The sequence below is a fragment of the Homo sapiens genome, chromosome 13 (assembly GCF_000001405.40).
Source record: "Homo sapiens chromosome 13, GRCh38.p14 Primary Assembly".
In the NCBI taxonomy this organism is placed as follows: domain Eukaryota; kingdom Metazoa; phylum Chordata; class Mammalia; order Primates; family Hominidae; genus Homo; species Homo sapiens.
Genome location: NC_000013.11, coordinates 69,838,423 through 69,854,773, shown reverse-complemented (window position 1 = coordinate 69,854,773; position 16,351 = coordinate 69,838,423). Strand labels below are relative to the sequence as shown.

The following is a 16,351-nucleotide window of genomic DNA, read 5'->3' as shown; positions in this document are numbered from 1 at the left end:
TCAAAAGACTATGTAAGAACCAATTATAATTTTGTGTTCTAGAAACTGGAGCAAAATTGTTAGTAACAGAAACTCATAAATGCAAATGGCATTAATTAATAAGCAGCATTTACAATTTCAGAGAAACTAATAACATTATGCATAGGAATAATGTTATATAAACTTCTGTTTATCTAATTACTGCAGTTTGCCAAGAAAATCATAAATCTCCTTAAGTCCTTAGCCTTTCTTATGTGCTTGTGCTGTGGTTTGGATATTTGGCCTCTCCAAACTTCATGGTAACCAATGTGGGATGTGTTTGGGTCATGGTAGAGGATCCCTCATGAGTAGCATGGTGCTCTCCTTGTGGTAGTAAGTTAGTTTTCACTCTATGCTTTCCTGGGAGAGCTGGATGTTAAAAACAGCCTGGCACCTCCATGCTCTCTCTCTTTCTTCATTTCTTGCTGCGTGATCTCCGCACACACTGGCCCCCCTTCATCTTCCTCAATGAGTAGAAACAGCCTGAAGTCCTCAACATAAGCAGATGTTGGTGCCATGCTTCTTGTACAGCCTGCAGAACTATGAGCCAAATAAACCTCTTTTCTTTATAATTTCCCAGTCTCAGGTATTCAATTCTAGCAACACAATGGACTAAGACTGCCTGATAAATTAATAGCATTACAAGTTAGAAGTCAAAGACTTTATGGATTACAAAATCAAAATCATTTCCAAAGTTAAATTTTGCCTCTAGGATCAGGATGGATTATCTTTTCTTGGGATAGGAAGTAATTTCCCTTTATTTAATTTGGAATAGGTTTTATAAATCTATGAGAAGACAGCATTGAAGTGAAAGGGAAAGGGGGATTAGTAATATTGGTTGAGTGATTATTATTAAGCCTTACGCTAAGCAAAGTCTCCATATTCTATTTACTCTCACATACTTTGAAGAAGATGTAATGTCTTCATTTTACAAATGAAATATGGATGCAAAAATGAAACAAAACAAAAACAACATACCTTATCCAGTTATATCTAGGAAAAACAAGGTGGGGCTCTTCTAGAGTTACATTGTATCTGGCATGGTAAGAATACAGCAAGTTCTCTTGATAAGAAACTTACTGTATTATCACATTCACTGGTGAATACCACTTTAAACACTTATCTTCCAGTATGTATCTACACATTAAACTGATGAAAGTAGCTGCTTGCAATGACTTTCTACTGATATGCAAGTCCAGGAGGGCCATGTGTAAAGAACAGAAGTGTAAGTAGTTGTATTACTTCATTCTCATGCTGCTAATAAAGACATACCCAAGACTGGGTAATTTGTAAAGGAAAGAGGCTTAATCGACTCACAGTTCAGCATGGCTGGGGAGGCCTCGGGAAACTTACAATCATGGTGGAAGGAGAAGCAACAACATCCTTCTTCATATGGTGGCAGGAAGGAGAAGTGCTGAGCAAAAGGGGGAAAAGCCCCTTATAAAACCATCTTATCTCTTGAGAACTCACTCACTATCAGGAGAACAGCATGAGGGTGAACGCCCCCATTATTTAACTACTTCCCACTGGGTCCCTCCCATGACATGTGGGGATTAGGGTAACTACAATTCAAGATGAAATTTGGGTAGGGTCACAGTCAAACCATATCAGTAGTTTAACAGTTCTTGTTTTGAAAAAGTCAACCAACTGAAAACTAGGTTGTCAGAAGAAGATATAGCAGGAATTTTCTCAGCACAGCCTAATATACTGCGGCTTAACTGTAAGTACTAGAAAATAATAACCATCTGCTCAATTATATTATAAATTACTTTAAGTTAGGAACCAATAAATTATCTTTGCACACTCCAAAGTGTCTGGCATAGGGTTTGACACATTCTAAATTCTATTAATGCCTTTGGTATCAAGATTAATAAATATATTTTCATTTATTCCTGAAGTTTTTTCTCAGTAAAGATGTTTGAACAACTCATTTCATACCTAAACTTTAGAAACTCTACAAAGTATATGCCCAGTGGAATTTTCTTTACTTGGGAGAATTATTTTAATCCCTTATTGACTTGCATGATGCATCTACCTTGATGTTTTCACAGGAACTTATTTCACTGATGTTGATCAAAAGAGGTATGTTGGGCTTTGATCAGAGTAAATCTGAAGAAAGCTGGAAATCTGCAAATATAAAGTGATTAAAATTTTTTCTCCATCTTCTCTTAGTGAAATGAGGAAGCAAAATGCTGACTGATACCTTCTAATTAGTGTGAGTCAAATTAAAAGGTTTTAGTTAAAGATAATTGAAATAAGGCTAAAACAAAACCAAAGTTTAACACTAGGTCCACGTCATTATTGAAATCAGAAAATCCATTTTTCCAATTAATCAACTGAATGTTGTCTCTTCAATTGCTGTCCTGAAGATTTGTGTCAAGGTATTTCTGGGACCATCCTACCATCCGAGTTAACATTTCTGAAATAAAATGTGGGAGAAGTAAGGGAAGAATTCTCAACATTTCTTACAGTTCCAGATGCTTTTTACAGACGTGAGGCCATTACCTATTCCGGATGGAGTGTGAAGGAGCCTTGCAGATGTATCCCTCTCAAGGAAGCTATGCTTAAGGATGACCATTAAATTAGTACCTTTTTCTCGTTAGCTAGTCAGTCTAAGGCTGTGCGTGCTTACTCTTGTCTCTTAATTCAGAGCAATTTCTTATAAGAAAAACTAAAATAAATGCAGGATAATATGCATAGATGCATGTTACAATAATTTTTCTATTTTACAAGCATTTTACTCATAACAAGATGGTTTGAATCCAGGTTATGATTTAAGACCCCATTTAGCTAATACAGTTCATCAATTTCAAGTAATAATTTCAAGTATTGAAATGCAGTTATTTCTACAAACTATTAATTAGTAAAACTATCTGACTACTAGTAGGTAAATGTTTTCAAGATTTTTTTCTTAATGATAATGATCATCTTAGTCTTCATGAGTTGCAGATAGATGAGTTCTGCAAGAAAGGATGATCCAGAAACTTACTGTAAATGATAACTTGGGAGCTTGTCTGGGACAGGAAAGGTCTATAATAGAGAACAGGGACATAGGAGCATGCTAGACATATTTAGAAAGAGAGAGGAGTCCAGAAAAGGAAGGAGCAAGGGAAATACCAATGTCTATTAATATCTTTTATTCTAAGATTAATTGTATTGATGCATCAAAAATATGTATCAAATGCTATGTTAATAGCTCAATACATATTTAACATGTTGAAAGTTATTACTTCATGCAACTCTAAAGTCAAAAATGTCTCCAATTAATCCAGTGATACAGATCAAGTAAGTGTTTCTTTCAAAAAACTCATACTGTCCTCAAAAAGCATGAATGTGCAACGTACTTTCTTTTGATTTTGAGTCTGCATCAGGCTCCTCAGTGAGTTTGCAAAGATGACCTACAAATTCCTATAGTCTGTGTTGCCCAGTCAGAAATAATTTTGTAAAAGAACTAAAGGAAGCGTAGTAGTTTCTCATGATAAATCTGCATGTGTTTGAATATATCCTTTTCTAATTATCTTCTTGCAAAATGTAATTATAAATAACAGAATTTTATAAAAATATACTCTTTGAATTTCAAGCATAAAATTTAAGTAAACACAGTACTTAAAAAAGAGACAGCTACCTATAAAAGCATAAAAAATAAAAGTATATATGTATGTTTTTCAGTTGTGACTACTAAGTATAAACAATACAGTTATAAATTGTGAATTGAAGAAATTACAGAACATGTTGAAGATAAGGCCTAGTCCAGTGGAGACTTGTTTATAGATAAAATAAAGATAACCTTCAAACGCTATTTAGAAACACAGGGTAAAACTAGGAGTCAGTCAGATAGTTCAAAAGAAGAAAAAAGCCACATTAAAGACAAAGTGCGAAAATTGTTCTCGTGAAGGATAATGTATAGAACAGCCTTGACAATGTAGAAGGTTGATCTGGAGGCACAGTGACAAATGAGCCTAAACAAGGTGCTTTAAGTTACATTAGGAAATACTTTCAGTTGTAGTACATGGAATTAAAACAAGACAGCAGGACAGTGAATGATCAATGTGTATGTTTTAGGACGCTGTGGGAGTAGTTTGAATTCTGTATATGATAGCTGGTATCAAAGATAAGAATTTAAGTGATGGATCTTTCTCAAAAATTTGGAAAAGTGTTAATGAGAATTTCAACTAGGGAAGTGGCTTTTGGAATGGAAAGCAAGTAATGAAATGGAAGGGTCGTAGACAGTTTCATAGTAATCAACAGTATTTGGGAGTAGTGAAATGGAAGGGTCCTAGACAATATTATAGTAATCAACTGTATTTGGTGACTGTTTGGATGTGAGGTTGACCAAAGAGATAAAGAACTTTGCTAAGTGGAATTATCAATGAGCCAGGGATCTCAGGAAGGAAAACAAATTTTGGAAATATGTATTCATATATCATATTCTCAAAAAAAAGTTTGAAGTAGCTTAAATAGTTGAAGCTTAAAAGTGAAGTGCAGGTAATTAAGTACCCTAAATCATCAATAAAAATAGAAGACAAAGTCAATTACAGGAAGAAGAGTAATGGGAAAAATAAGTTCAGATTTAAATATATGAGTTTGAATTGTTAGTGGAATATTCAGGTTAATGTTTCCTAGTTAAGGGTCAAATCACCTTGCAGTGATGTCCATGAGCCCAAATTATTTCTGTAATGGATTTTTGCTATCGAATGTGACTGAAAATAAACATGCTATCAACTGGGTCTGGAATAAATCATTTAGTAATATAGATATTTGGTTGATTGTTTAGCAAAGAGGTTTCTAATAGACATAAACATTTATAATTATTATTAACGTATGCATTGAATTTGAGATGTGATATTGAACATATTTCTGCTTATGAATTATATATTTTCAAACTTTGGTAATGAATAAATTATTTAAAATAAATTAATAGATTCAAGAATGACAGTAAATAATCAATCACTTAAATAGTTCTTGAGCAAATCATGGGGCCTATAGCTCTGTTAGTGGTACCAACAATAAATAGCAGATTTTTTTTTCTGATTTTCTGCAAGTTTATAATTTAGCATATTTTTAAGCCTTTAAGTGACTACATATATGGTAACTGTTCAAAATCTGATATGACTGATAAAACTAAATGTTGACTGTGACCTGAGTGATGAAGTAAATCTTCATGAAAGTAATAGGACCTTCAACTAGACTCTGAAGATTCGGGTCATATTTTAATAGAAGCCCCAGAGGAAAAAGGCATTAAGGACAGTAAGATAGAGAGAGAGAGAAAGAGAGCATAAATGTGCTTGGCTTAAGAATACAGCATGATCTGTTCCAATGAGAAGAAAGAGATCAGAAGAGCTAACATATAAAATGTAGAATAACGTGCTTCAGGGTATTGGGGAAAGTGACTATAGATTAAAAAGAGTTATATTGTAGAATTTTTGGCATACTCATCTAAATTTGTTGAATAATGTCTTACAAACAATAACAAACTAATGTATACTCTTAAATATAGCCTAAACATGAAAGAATTAAGATGTTTTAGGGGAACAGAGAGAAGGTTGGACTTGAGTAAAATAGATTAGTGGTGAGTGAAAATGATGTTATTCGAGACCTATTATAGCACCTTGGACAAAATAAGCACTGACTAAATATTTGATGAATGAATGAAGGAAGGAATGAAGGAATGAAAAGTGCTGAGCCCAAATCGGATGCAATTAAATCATTAAGGATGAAGGCGATGTTCATACAGGGTGGAAGGTTAACTTATTTTACTTTTAGAAATTCTGAGCTTTCAAAATATGGAACAGTAAACCCATGTTAAATAAATAAAAGTTAATCAAAAATTATAGCATCACAAAACCCATTTTACTTGTTGCTAATAAGAACTTTCATTTCGGTTAATTTTGTGAGCTCTACTTATTTTGATTATGTCATTATTCTTCTGTACTTATACTGTCAGCTTGGCCAATTATTATTCATGTTAAGGCAATCAACTATTTCTGTATTCAGAATAAAATTAATGAACCTGCTACTTATTTCATATGCATTTTTTTCTTGTTTCCTCAAATGCTTGAGGAGGAATCATTCAAATGTATCTGATGTAAGTTTTAGCATGTCATTAATTTGTGTTTTCATTTTGAAGTGACAGCCATGGAAAATGATTTGGAATGCTCTGTTGTATCTACTTTTCTTTCATTTTTAAATATAAATAATATTCTTAAATAATTTGGCCAGAATAGTAGTTATGTCAGTAGGATGGATTGGGAAATACTACAGTCTCTTAAAATTTCAAGATTCAATTCTTTGCCAAAATTATTTTTAACTGAAGCTAAAAGGGACTTTAAATGTAAGAGGAGGAACTATCTACTCCTGGGTGGTATACTCTTTCAGGCTGCAGGCTGATATTGACAATGGTAGAGTTAGTCCCACTTGTGGAAACTAAGGCTGTTGGCAATCACATCTACTCAAATAGTCACTAATGAAGTGCTACGAGCTTTGGTGAACAAACTGTCTCATACTGCCAAGTTTCCAGCATAATTGTCCATTTTTCTCTCTGTATGTCTTTGAACATAAATAAAGTCTGAAAGGTGGGGAAGGGTCAAACAAAGCTCTCTAGGTATGAGGCACTTTCTGTTTTCGCTTGTACAGTTTGACAGTCCTAGCCACGGCTCACTATTTATTGTGTTCCTGGAAAGTTCTGTGATGACTGAACTCTTTCCTTTCACCAGCACCTTAAATAGGCTCAGGGTTCATTTAGCACTGAATATGATCATTGTTTCCCTGTGGAATGTCTTAGACTGCTTTAATGCAAATACCTGAAATTATTTTATTTGTATTAGATATATTTATAAGACATTGAAATAAAAATTTTTCTGCAGCTTATGAGATAATATTTTATTATTCATGGCTTTCATTTTGTCATGCACAAAACTTGAAAGGCAAGCTATGAAACTGTCATTTATTCTCTAAGGACTGTCACTTCTAATAGGAATCAATTTTGTTTTATAGATTCAAATTCTGAGTTTATTTTTAGCACAAGATCCAGTAGGAAAACAAAATTTTGAGATATTATGAAATAAGATGAAGTACATGAAATTTTGTCACTTTATCATGAATGTGAGAGTGTTTTCATAACTATATATGTTTTCATAATATAGCCCAAGGATATAGTTTTAGAAGAGTTAGTACTTTTTCTTTGGTCTATAATATGTTTAAACTTATTTTTCTTTAAGTATTTATTCAATATTGCCTTCCATTTTGCAGTGGACTCCATGACCAGATGAAAGGTATAGATGTGATTGCTGCGCTTGGTACATCTCCTATTTTCCTGCCTTTAAATTATGTTTTTTTTTTTTTTTTTTTTTTTGCTAATGCAGTATTACTCTAACTTAAGGAATAGCTTATGATGTAGGTCTTTTCTTATTTCTGGATGTGAACTGTATAGTAGGGTGTTGCTATAATTTATATTTCTTAAATGATATTTTAGAAGGTTGTCTGTAATACAAGTTTTTATAATGTAAATGTTTTCTGGCTTTTACTATAAAATTAGAGTGTATGTCATTTATGTAATAAAAGTAGGTCATCCAGCAAGAATAAATTCATGTATCTTGTTTTGTTTACTTATGATAGTATTGTAAAAGTTATTTACAATATCAAGCAGCATCTATACAGGCAATATAGTGCAGAGAATCATGACAAGGATTCTAGACAAGAGGGTATTTTTCTTGACACATTAGATAATTTTTACAGAAAGAAGACAATTTTTTAAAAAGACATGAAAATTGATTCTATTTTTTGTTTGAGAGATTGCAAAAACACTGCAAAATCTAGATACTTGAATGATGCATCCTATTTTTATAAAGCAATACTTTCAGAAGATTATTTGAAATACCTTTAGCATCATAATTTATGTATTATTACAAACATTTCAAATAAAATCATATAATACTCTTGGAAAGCTGCAATTTGAAGAGTGTGCACACAGGATTAAAACACTCAGCAATGCTTTAATGTTGCTAAACATGTGACTATTTTGATCATGTGGTTCAATGTATGAAACCATCAACAAGTAAATTATGGTGTATTATAGTAACAAATTTAATGGTTATTTACAATGAATAATATTTTAACAAATGTATTTATTCATATATATATTTTTTTCTAACCAAAATGAACTTGTTAATAAAGCCAATAGAACTTTAGAAGAGTATGTGAAAAGAAAATAATGCTTTCAAACAGGTAACTGAAGGGAAAATACTTATTCTAATTAAAAGTTCATGACATTTCTGGCAGCTGGAATGCTCTAACAAATTCGTTGTCAAAAGTTCTAGCTATAAATGGCTAAATTATTCCGATTTTTCATATTGGTAAATTCTGAAAATTGTGTGAGTTTATCCTATATATTTCCTGGTCATGTTTGATTCTGAAGCTACTGGGTTACCCTATAACGCATCAGTTATTATTTAATCACAAAGAAAACTGACAAGGTTATAAGGAGATAGGGCATATCTGCAAAGTGACCACCTAGCTGACAGAGTTGTTAACGAAAGAACATATTGCCTGTGGAAAAGTCTTATGCTCTGTATCTTTTATCCTAAAATTTGTATATACATAAACCAGAACACTGGAAATGTTTAATTCGTTTGGATAGCATAGAACAGGATTTTAAAAACTTGTTATTTAGTTTGTTGTCTTGTATGATAGAAGTATATTATTATCTCCAGGTTACCTAATTAGGTTATAAAGCAACTTATTAATGATTTTATTTTTCTTGCAAAGAGACATTTTCCTGTATGTATTATAGTAAACTATTATATTATAGTTTACTACATTTAACAAGGCAAACCTCAAATATTGACTTTTTAAGATCTATTTTTTTTCAAATATCGACATCTCTGAGCCCATAGGATCTTGAAGCAGTAATATTAGAAATGAGAATTTAAAACAGAAACAGAGTATTCCATCGTAACTCCACTTAGTTATGTTTTACCTTGATGCTCCACATGATTTCAAGATATTTTGTTCATTACCTTCATAGAAATATTCATGTTAGTATTAAATTTTATCATCATTTTCCAAAGAGCAAGTGCTAGTATAAGTTATAGAAATACAGTATCTCATTTTTTGTGTGTTTATAAAATGTACTTGAAATTTTGTCAGGTATATAGAAACAATACACATGAAATAAAATAATAGATACTTGCAATTTCAACTATATAATATGGTTTCATATTTAAGTTGAAATTGCTCACAGAGTAAACAATACCAAAAACTAGCTAACTTTTATTTCTGCTAAATTTTTTGCATAATATAAATAGTTGAAACATATTTTTGTAACACTAAAATGTACAGCAGAATGACAAAGTGGGTAAGTTTTCATTCTATTTGATTTTCTTCTCTGAGAAGTACATTCATTGAATTTGCAATTTATTTGTAGCTATTATTGGTGAAATGTGTTCAGTGTTGAATTCCTATAAGACAACAAAATATGTTTTGTAATAAGCAAGCAGACTTTATTATACCTATTCCACTATGAAAGAACACTACCTATACAAAGCCTTGGTGTATCCTCTATAGAAAAAAGTCACAAGAAGATATTTATGATTCCAGAGCTTGGCCTGGGTTATTTTAAAGCAGCCTTTGCACTGTGGTAAAATGGTGGGGCTTATGTACAGTTTATATCATAATAGCTTAGGATTAGTGTGCACAGCAAGGTTAGGCTCTTGAAGCAAGTGTTGAAGGGCAAGTTCTAGTCTTGCTAGCTATTTTTGTGGGTTCACAGATGTCTCATCCTGCGGGAGCAAATATTTCCTGGATCGAATACTTATTTTTTTTTAGTTTTCACCATAAATTGACATAGGAACAAAGAAGCATGTCCTGTACCAGTTCCAAGATGTGTGCTAAGAAAACAGAAATTTCTTTTGTACATATGAAGTGAAGGGATTTAGATTTCTGGTTCTTATATACTGTGATGTTTGTTGTCTTAATAAATAAATAAATAAATAAAAAACCCAGAAGAAAAACCTTATTGCTTGAATCAAATTACTCAGAAAATGAACATTTTATAACAAACTGGCAATAGGAAGCTGGGTAGTACTCATAATAAAATTATGATCAAATTGTACCTAGTAGGATCTGTTATGGGCTGATATTTCTGTCCTACCCAAACTCACATGTGGTTGGCCTAACCCCCACAGTAATGCTATTAGGAGGTAGGGCCTTTAAAGGTAATGAGGTTTAGATGAAGTCATTAGAGTTGTCAGAGACGAAATGCAAACACAAGCTATGGTGTTTATAAGCAAGAAACTGTTACAAGTAATAATTTAAAAATATACAACAATAGGTTACAGTGGTTATAAGTAATTTAGTTTGTCAAAATGAGTAGGAGTAGGCCAAAGTTACATTTTACACAATATTTTATTCATAAAAAGGAAAATAGTATTTGAATACAGCATACCTTGGTCATTTTATTAAATACAAGACACATTTTATTTTCATTTTATTTTATTCTTATTTATTTTTATTTGCCATGTCATATATTGAAATAAATAATTCATAATATATTTTTATGTGTACATCTATGGGCATTGAACATTGTATTTCTTTAAATTTATTACTTTAAAATATTATAAACCTAGGCACATAGAGTTGATGATCTTTCAATACTTTATTTTTATAGAATTTATTTTTTCTTTTATAATTATCCATTATTTATAAAATTTGATATAATCCTTATCTATCTTTGCATGTATTTGTTTGTAACATTTTCTTAGAAATTGAAAAGTTATTCACAAATTATCATTAATTAATCAATAACATTAGTCTATTGCCTTAAAGTTGTCCAAGTAAATGTAAATGACGAGTTAATGGGTGCAGCACACCAACATGGCACATGTGTACATATGTAACAAACCTCCACATTGTGCACATGTACCCTAGAACTTAAAGTATAAAAAAAAAGTCTAAGCTAACACAGGAAGCCTTTTCTGATTTGTAGCTGTACAAGAATTCACAAGATTAAACCTCAGTAGAAGATACCACTTATTGAAATTTCATTTAATCAATCTTGTACTTTGGCCATCCTAAATCATTTTTAAAATTACTTATAACTTACTGTACCACTAACATATAATTTTTAAGTGTAAAATATGAGAAATTAAACCCAAGTCCTATTTATGTAAAAATACTATGCTAAAATTATTTTTACATGGTACTGAAGTCAAGAAGGCATAGGGTTACTTGTAAGCTAAAATTAATCCACCCTAATTAGTTAAAGGAGCCATCAAAATACTAGGGATAGCATAGAAACTCGTTTTAATATAAATTATTCTCTGCATTCATATGCCAAAATTTAAAGATATTTAAATCTATGTCATGAGTCTACTTTTCTAAAACCTAAGCTGTTTCCAAACTCTTGCATTCACTTTTTTATTCTGTTACAATTTTGCAAGAAGAAACATGAAAAAGGAGTACATTTCTAATTTTTTTTCTATTTTTTTGTCTTTTGCTTATTTGTACAAATTTATGAAGTACATGAGAAATTTTGTTACGTGCATATAGTGTGTTGTGATCAAGGCAGGGTATTTGGCGTGTCTGTCACCTGAGAACAATACATTTTTGTTAGGTATAGTCACCCTACTCTGCTATCATACATTGAATTTAATCCTTCTATCTTACTGAGAGTTTTACCCTTTAACTCAGTTTGCTTCCTTGTTCTCCATATCTCCCACTCACCCTTTACAGTCTCTGTTATCTGTCTTTCAACTCTCTACCTCCATATAATGAATTTTCTTAACTCCCACATAAAAGTGAGAACATGTGATATTTGTCTTTTAGTGCCTGGCTTATTTCACTTAAGATAATGACCTCCAGTTCCATACATGTTGCTATAAATGGCATGATTTTATTCTTTCTTATGGCCAAGTAGCATTCTATTGTGTATATATACCACATTTTCTTTATTCATTAACCCATTGATGGGCACGTAGGTTGATTCCATATCTTTGCTATTATAAATAGTGCTGCAATAAACATGTGAATGCAAGTATCCTTTGATATACTGATTTCTTTTCCTTTGGGTAGATATCCAGTAGTAGAATTGCTGGATCAAATGGTAATTCTACTTTTAGTTTTTTGAGAAATCTCCACATTGTTTTCCATAGTGGCTTTACTAGTTTACCTTCCAACAAACACTATGTAAGTTTCATTTTCTCCTCATTCACACCATCATGTTATTTTTTGTCTTCTTAAATAGTCATTCTGACTGGGATAAGATAGTATTTCATTATGGTTTTGATTTATATTTCTCTGATGATTAATGATGTTGAGCATTTTAGCATATACCTGTTGGGCCATTTGTATGTTTTCTTTAGAGAAATACCTAGTCATGTCCTTCGCCCACTTTTTAATGGGATTAGTTTTTTCTTGTTGAGTTGTTTTTTGTTTCCTGTACATTCTGCGTATTTGTCCTCTCTTGCATAAATAATTTGCTAATATTTCTCCCATTAAGCAGATTTTCTTTTCACTTTGTTGATTTTTTTCCTTTGTTGTGCAGAAGCTTTTTAATTTGATATAGTCCCATTTGTCTTTTTATTGTTGTTGCCTGTGCTTTTGATGTCTTAGTCATAAATCCTTTGCTTAGACCACTCTTTATGAGAACTTTCTCTAGGTTTTCTTCTAGTGTTTTTATATTAATAGTTTTGCAACTTACATTTGTGTATTTAATTCATTTTGGGTTGATTTTTGTATATGGTGACAGATAGGAGTCTAGTTTCATTCTTCTGCATGTGGCTATCCAATTTTCCCAGCACCATTTATTGAAGAGGGTGTCCTTTCCCAAGTGTAAGTTCTTGTTGACTTTCTTAAAGATCAGTTAGCAGTAAATACGTGGCTTTATTTCTGGCCTCTCTATTCTGTTCCATTGGCCTATATATCTATCTTTAGAGAAATACCGTGCTGCTTGGGTTAAGTCAGGTAATGTGATACCTCCAGTTTTGTTCTTTTTGATCAGGATTGCTTTGACATTTGGGCTCTTTTTTGGTTTGATGTTTTATATATATTTTAGAATTGTTTATCCAATTCTGTGAAAAAATGACTTTGGTAATTTGAAAGAGATTGTGTTTAGCCTATAGAATGATTTGAGCAATGCGGTCATTTTAATGATATTAATTCTTCTGATCTGTGAGCATGGGATTTTTTTTATTTGTTTGTGTTATCTTCAATTTCTTTCATTAGTGTTTTGTAATTTTCCCTGTAGAGATCTTTCACTTCCTTAGTTACATTTATTCCTAGTTTTCTTTTTAGTCACTGTAAATAAAATGGACTACTTGTTTTTTTTTCTCAACTAGATTGTTATTAGCATATAGAAACAAGAAACACTGCTGACTTTTGTATATTGATTTCATGTCCTGCAACTTTATTTATCAAACCTACTGTTTTTTTTGTTGAGTCTTTTGGTTTTTCTAGATATAAGACTATATAATCAGTAAACAGGAGAAACTTGACTTCTTCTTTACCAATTTGGAGGCCTTTTATTTCTTTCTCTTTCCTGATTGTTCTGACTAAGACTTCCAATACTATGTTGAATATGAGATGTGATATTGAAGGGGAAAAAGTTTAAAGATTTTTATTTTTTATTTGTAATGCTTTAACTATTTATCTAGTTAAGCTATTCCTAACGTGTGTTCCAAATGAAAGAATAGTATCTTTATGATCAACTAATCCCAAATTTTCCCAAAAGGAGTGAAAAGGAGAGAAGAAAAATGAGAATTCATGAGAGCCAGCTTTACATATACATAAATTTAGTACTGTAGAGGTTAATTATTTTCCTTCTGTGGCAATGAAAAGACTCAGATACAAGAAACTATATATTTGACACACAGATGATCAAGAGTCATTGTAGATAGATAGAAACATAATTATAAAGTTTATGAACACCACTGGGCCCTTGTTAGAAATAGTCCCTTTGGTGAATAAAAAAAAAAAAATTTACTAAAAATAGTAGTCCTTTCAAAACTTTCCATTGGAGATCTTCTATACATACATACATACATACATACATACATACATACATATATATATATATATAAAGTTAATGTTCAAAATAAAAGTGCGTAGAAAGGCAGCTAAGGTATTAGTATACAACAAAAGGAAACTGAGCCAAGAATGTAATTAATCATCTTCACTTATGTAATTCCAAAGCATCTAGTAACTAATATTATGTTTCTTATTCAGATTAAAACTGTTCTGGGCCAGGCACAGTGGCTCACACCTGTAATCCCAGCAATCTGGGAGACAGAGATGGGTGGATCACCTGAGGTCAGGAGTTCGAGACTAGCCTGGCCGACATGGTGAAACTCTGTCTCTACTAAAAACACAAAAATAAGTTGGGCATGGTGGTGCACATCTGTAATCCCAACTACTCAGGAGACTGAGGCAGGAGAATTGCTTGAACCTGGGAAGCAGAGGTTGCAGTGAGCCGAGATCACACCACTGCACTCCAGCCTGGGTGACAGAGTGAGAGTTTGTCTCAAAAAAAAATTATACTGTGTATCTTATGTGTTTCTATACTCTTTATGGCACCTCTTATAGTTTTATATATTAGGTAGGCTTACACATTTTAATTAAAGTCATAATTATAGTGTTAAATTTAATTAGTCACATGCTGCCATTTTTATTCATTCAATGAACATTTGTGTACAGATGTGGTACAATTTTTTTATCAATGTACAAGAAAAGTTCAGTGAGTAAATGCTAAATTTTCTACTTATTTATTTTCTAAATCTATGGGACACATTTTATTGTCACTCAAAGTGAAACAGGATCCATTAAAAAAGAAGACACTAAAAGAATCAAGGAGAAAAATAATCTAAAGAGCGAAAGAGAAAGAGGAAAATAAAAGATACTTTGGATGTGTGCAAATAAATGTACACAAAATAATTTGCAGAGACAATAACCTATTATAGCAAAAAATAGACACAATATACTTTAAAACTACTGGTCTCACTCTATTGGTCTATTGGGTGCTGAATTTTGGTATAAAATTTTCACTATTGGAAACTATTACTTTGCCTAATACACAACTTTTAAATTCCTTATATAATTAAAGAGATGTTATGAAGAAATTTTTTCATCTTTATTGAGTTATTTTGAATTTAAAAGAGATTTAAACTATACTTGAAACATTTTAAATTAAATATATGAACACTTACAGTAAGCTTGTAATGGCTTAATTTGTTGAAGTCTATTTTCAATAAATTAAATGTCTTTCACCTGACATGTTTATGGCCAACACAAGTAACTATACTTGATTTTCAGACAGCTTTCATAAAAAGAAAATGAATAGAAAAGCTGATCACTATAAGTGTTTTTTTTACTCTGTGTGGTAAAATGATAAATAATATTGAATCAAAAATAATATCCATTCTGTCTCTGTTGAAAGCCATTCATTTTATACATTTTTATTTGTTACTGTAATGAATTCTTACTACACCCTGCATCCTGCTCAATATAAGGATAATATCACAGACATTAAACTTCTAGTTTTAAGGAATGACATAATGTTCATCTCTTTGAAAACATTATTAACAGCTATTGTGTATTATTCACAGATATTGGCTGACCTAGAAAATCATGCATTATTTAAGAATGATCTGGAATGTCAAAAGCTGATTCTAGAAGCAATGAAATACCATCTATTGCCAGAAAGAAGAACTTTAATGCAAAGTCCGAGAACTAAACCCAGAAAATCTACAGTCGGAACTTTGTATGCTGTAGGAGGAATGGATAACAACAAAGGTATTTAATTCTGGATTTATATAACTATACATCCTGTGTTATACCGTGTTGCAGCTTTTATATTGTAATGGTGATACTACAAAAAATGACATAAACTCAGCTTTAATTATTGTAATTTAAGATTAAGGGAGAAATTAAATATCTCCTTAATTGTAGCTGCTGTCTGCTTCTTATTCATCTTTAAGTTCCTTATTCATTTCTTGTGCTTATGTACAAGAGTTCATATAAAATAAAAAAGAGATTTGAATCACTTAACACAAGCCAAACAATTTGTTGGATATATTGAGAATGCTATTTCAATGCCAAGAAATGTGAAATGCAAGGCAAATTCTTGCTGGGATCTCAATTATGAAAAGAATCTCTGTCTTTGAGAAGTTGAGAATATCATGTAGAAGCCAGATAAATAAATAGACAATTATAAAGAAGTATAAGAATGGTGAAAGTTATAATTTATAAGTTTAATTGTGTTTACTAATTTAGTCCTTCAAAAGAAAATAAATTATTTGTTTAAAAACTAAACATATGCATTTGAAGATTTTATTCTTACGTTTTT

The 16,351-nt window shown here is 31.5% G+C and overlaps 1 protein-coding gene across 4 annotated transcripts in view; it reads left to right on the top strand.

Annotated features, from left to right (window-relative positions):
* KLHL1 (kelch like family member 1) overlaps positions 1-16,351 on the top strand; it is a 407,856-nt gene that overhangs the window by 253,679 nt on the left and 137,826 nt on the right. For all 4 annotated transcript variants that reach the window (NM_001286725.2, NM_020866.3, XM_017020678.3 and 1 more), the window contains one exon: positions 15,612-15,798. In NM_001286725.2, the coding sequence (NP_001273654.1) occupies positions 15,612-15,798 (187 nt within the window). The remainder of the gene's footprint in view (positions 1-15,611; positions 15,799-16,351) is intronic.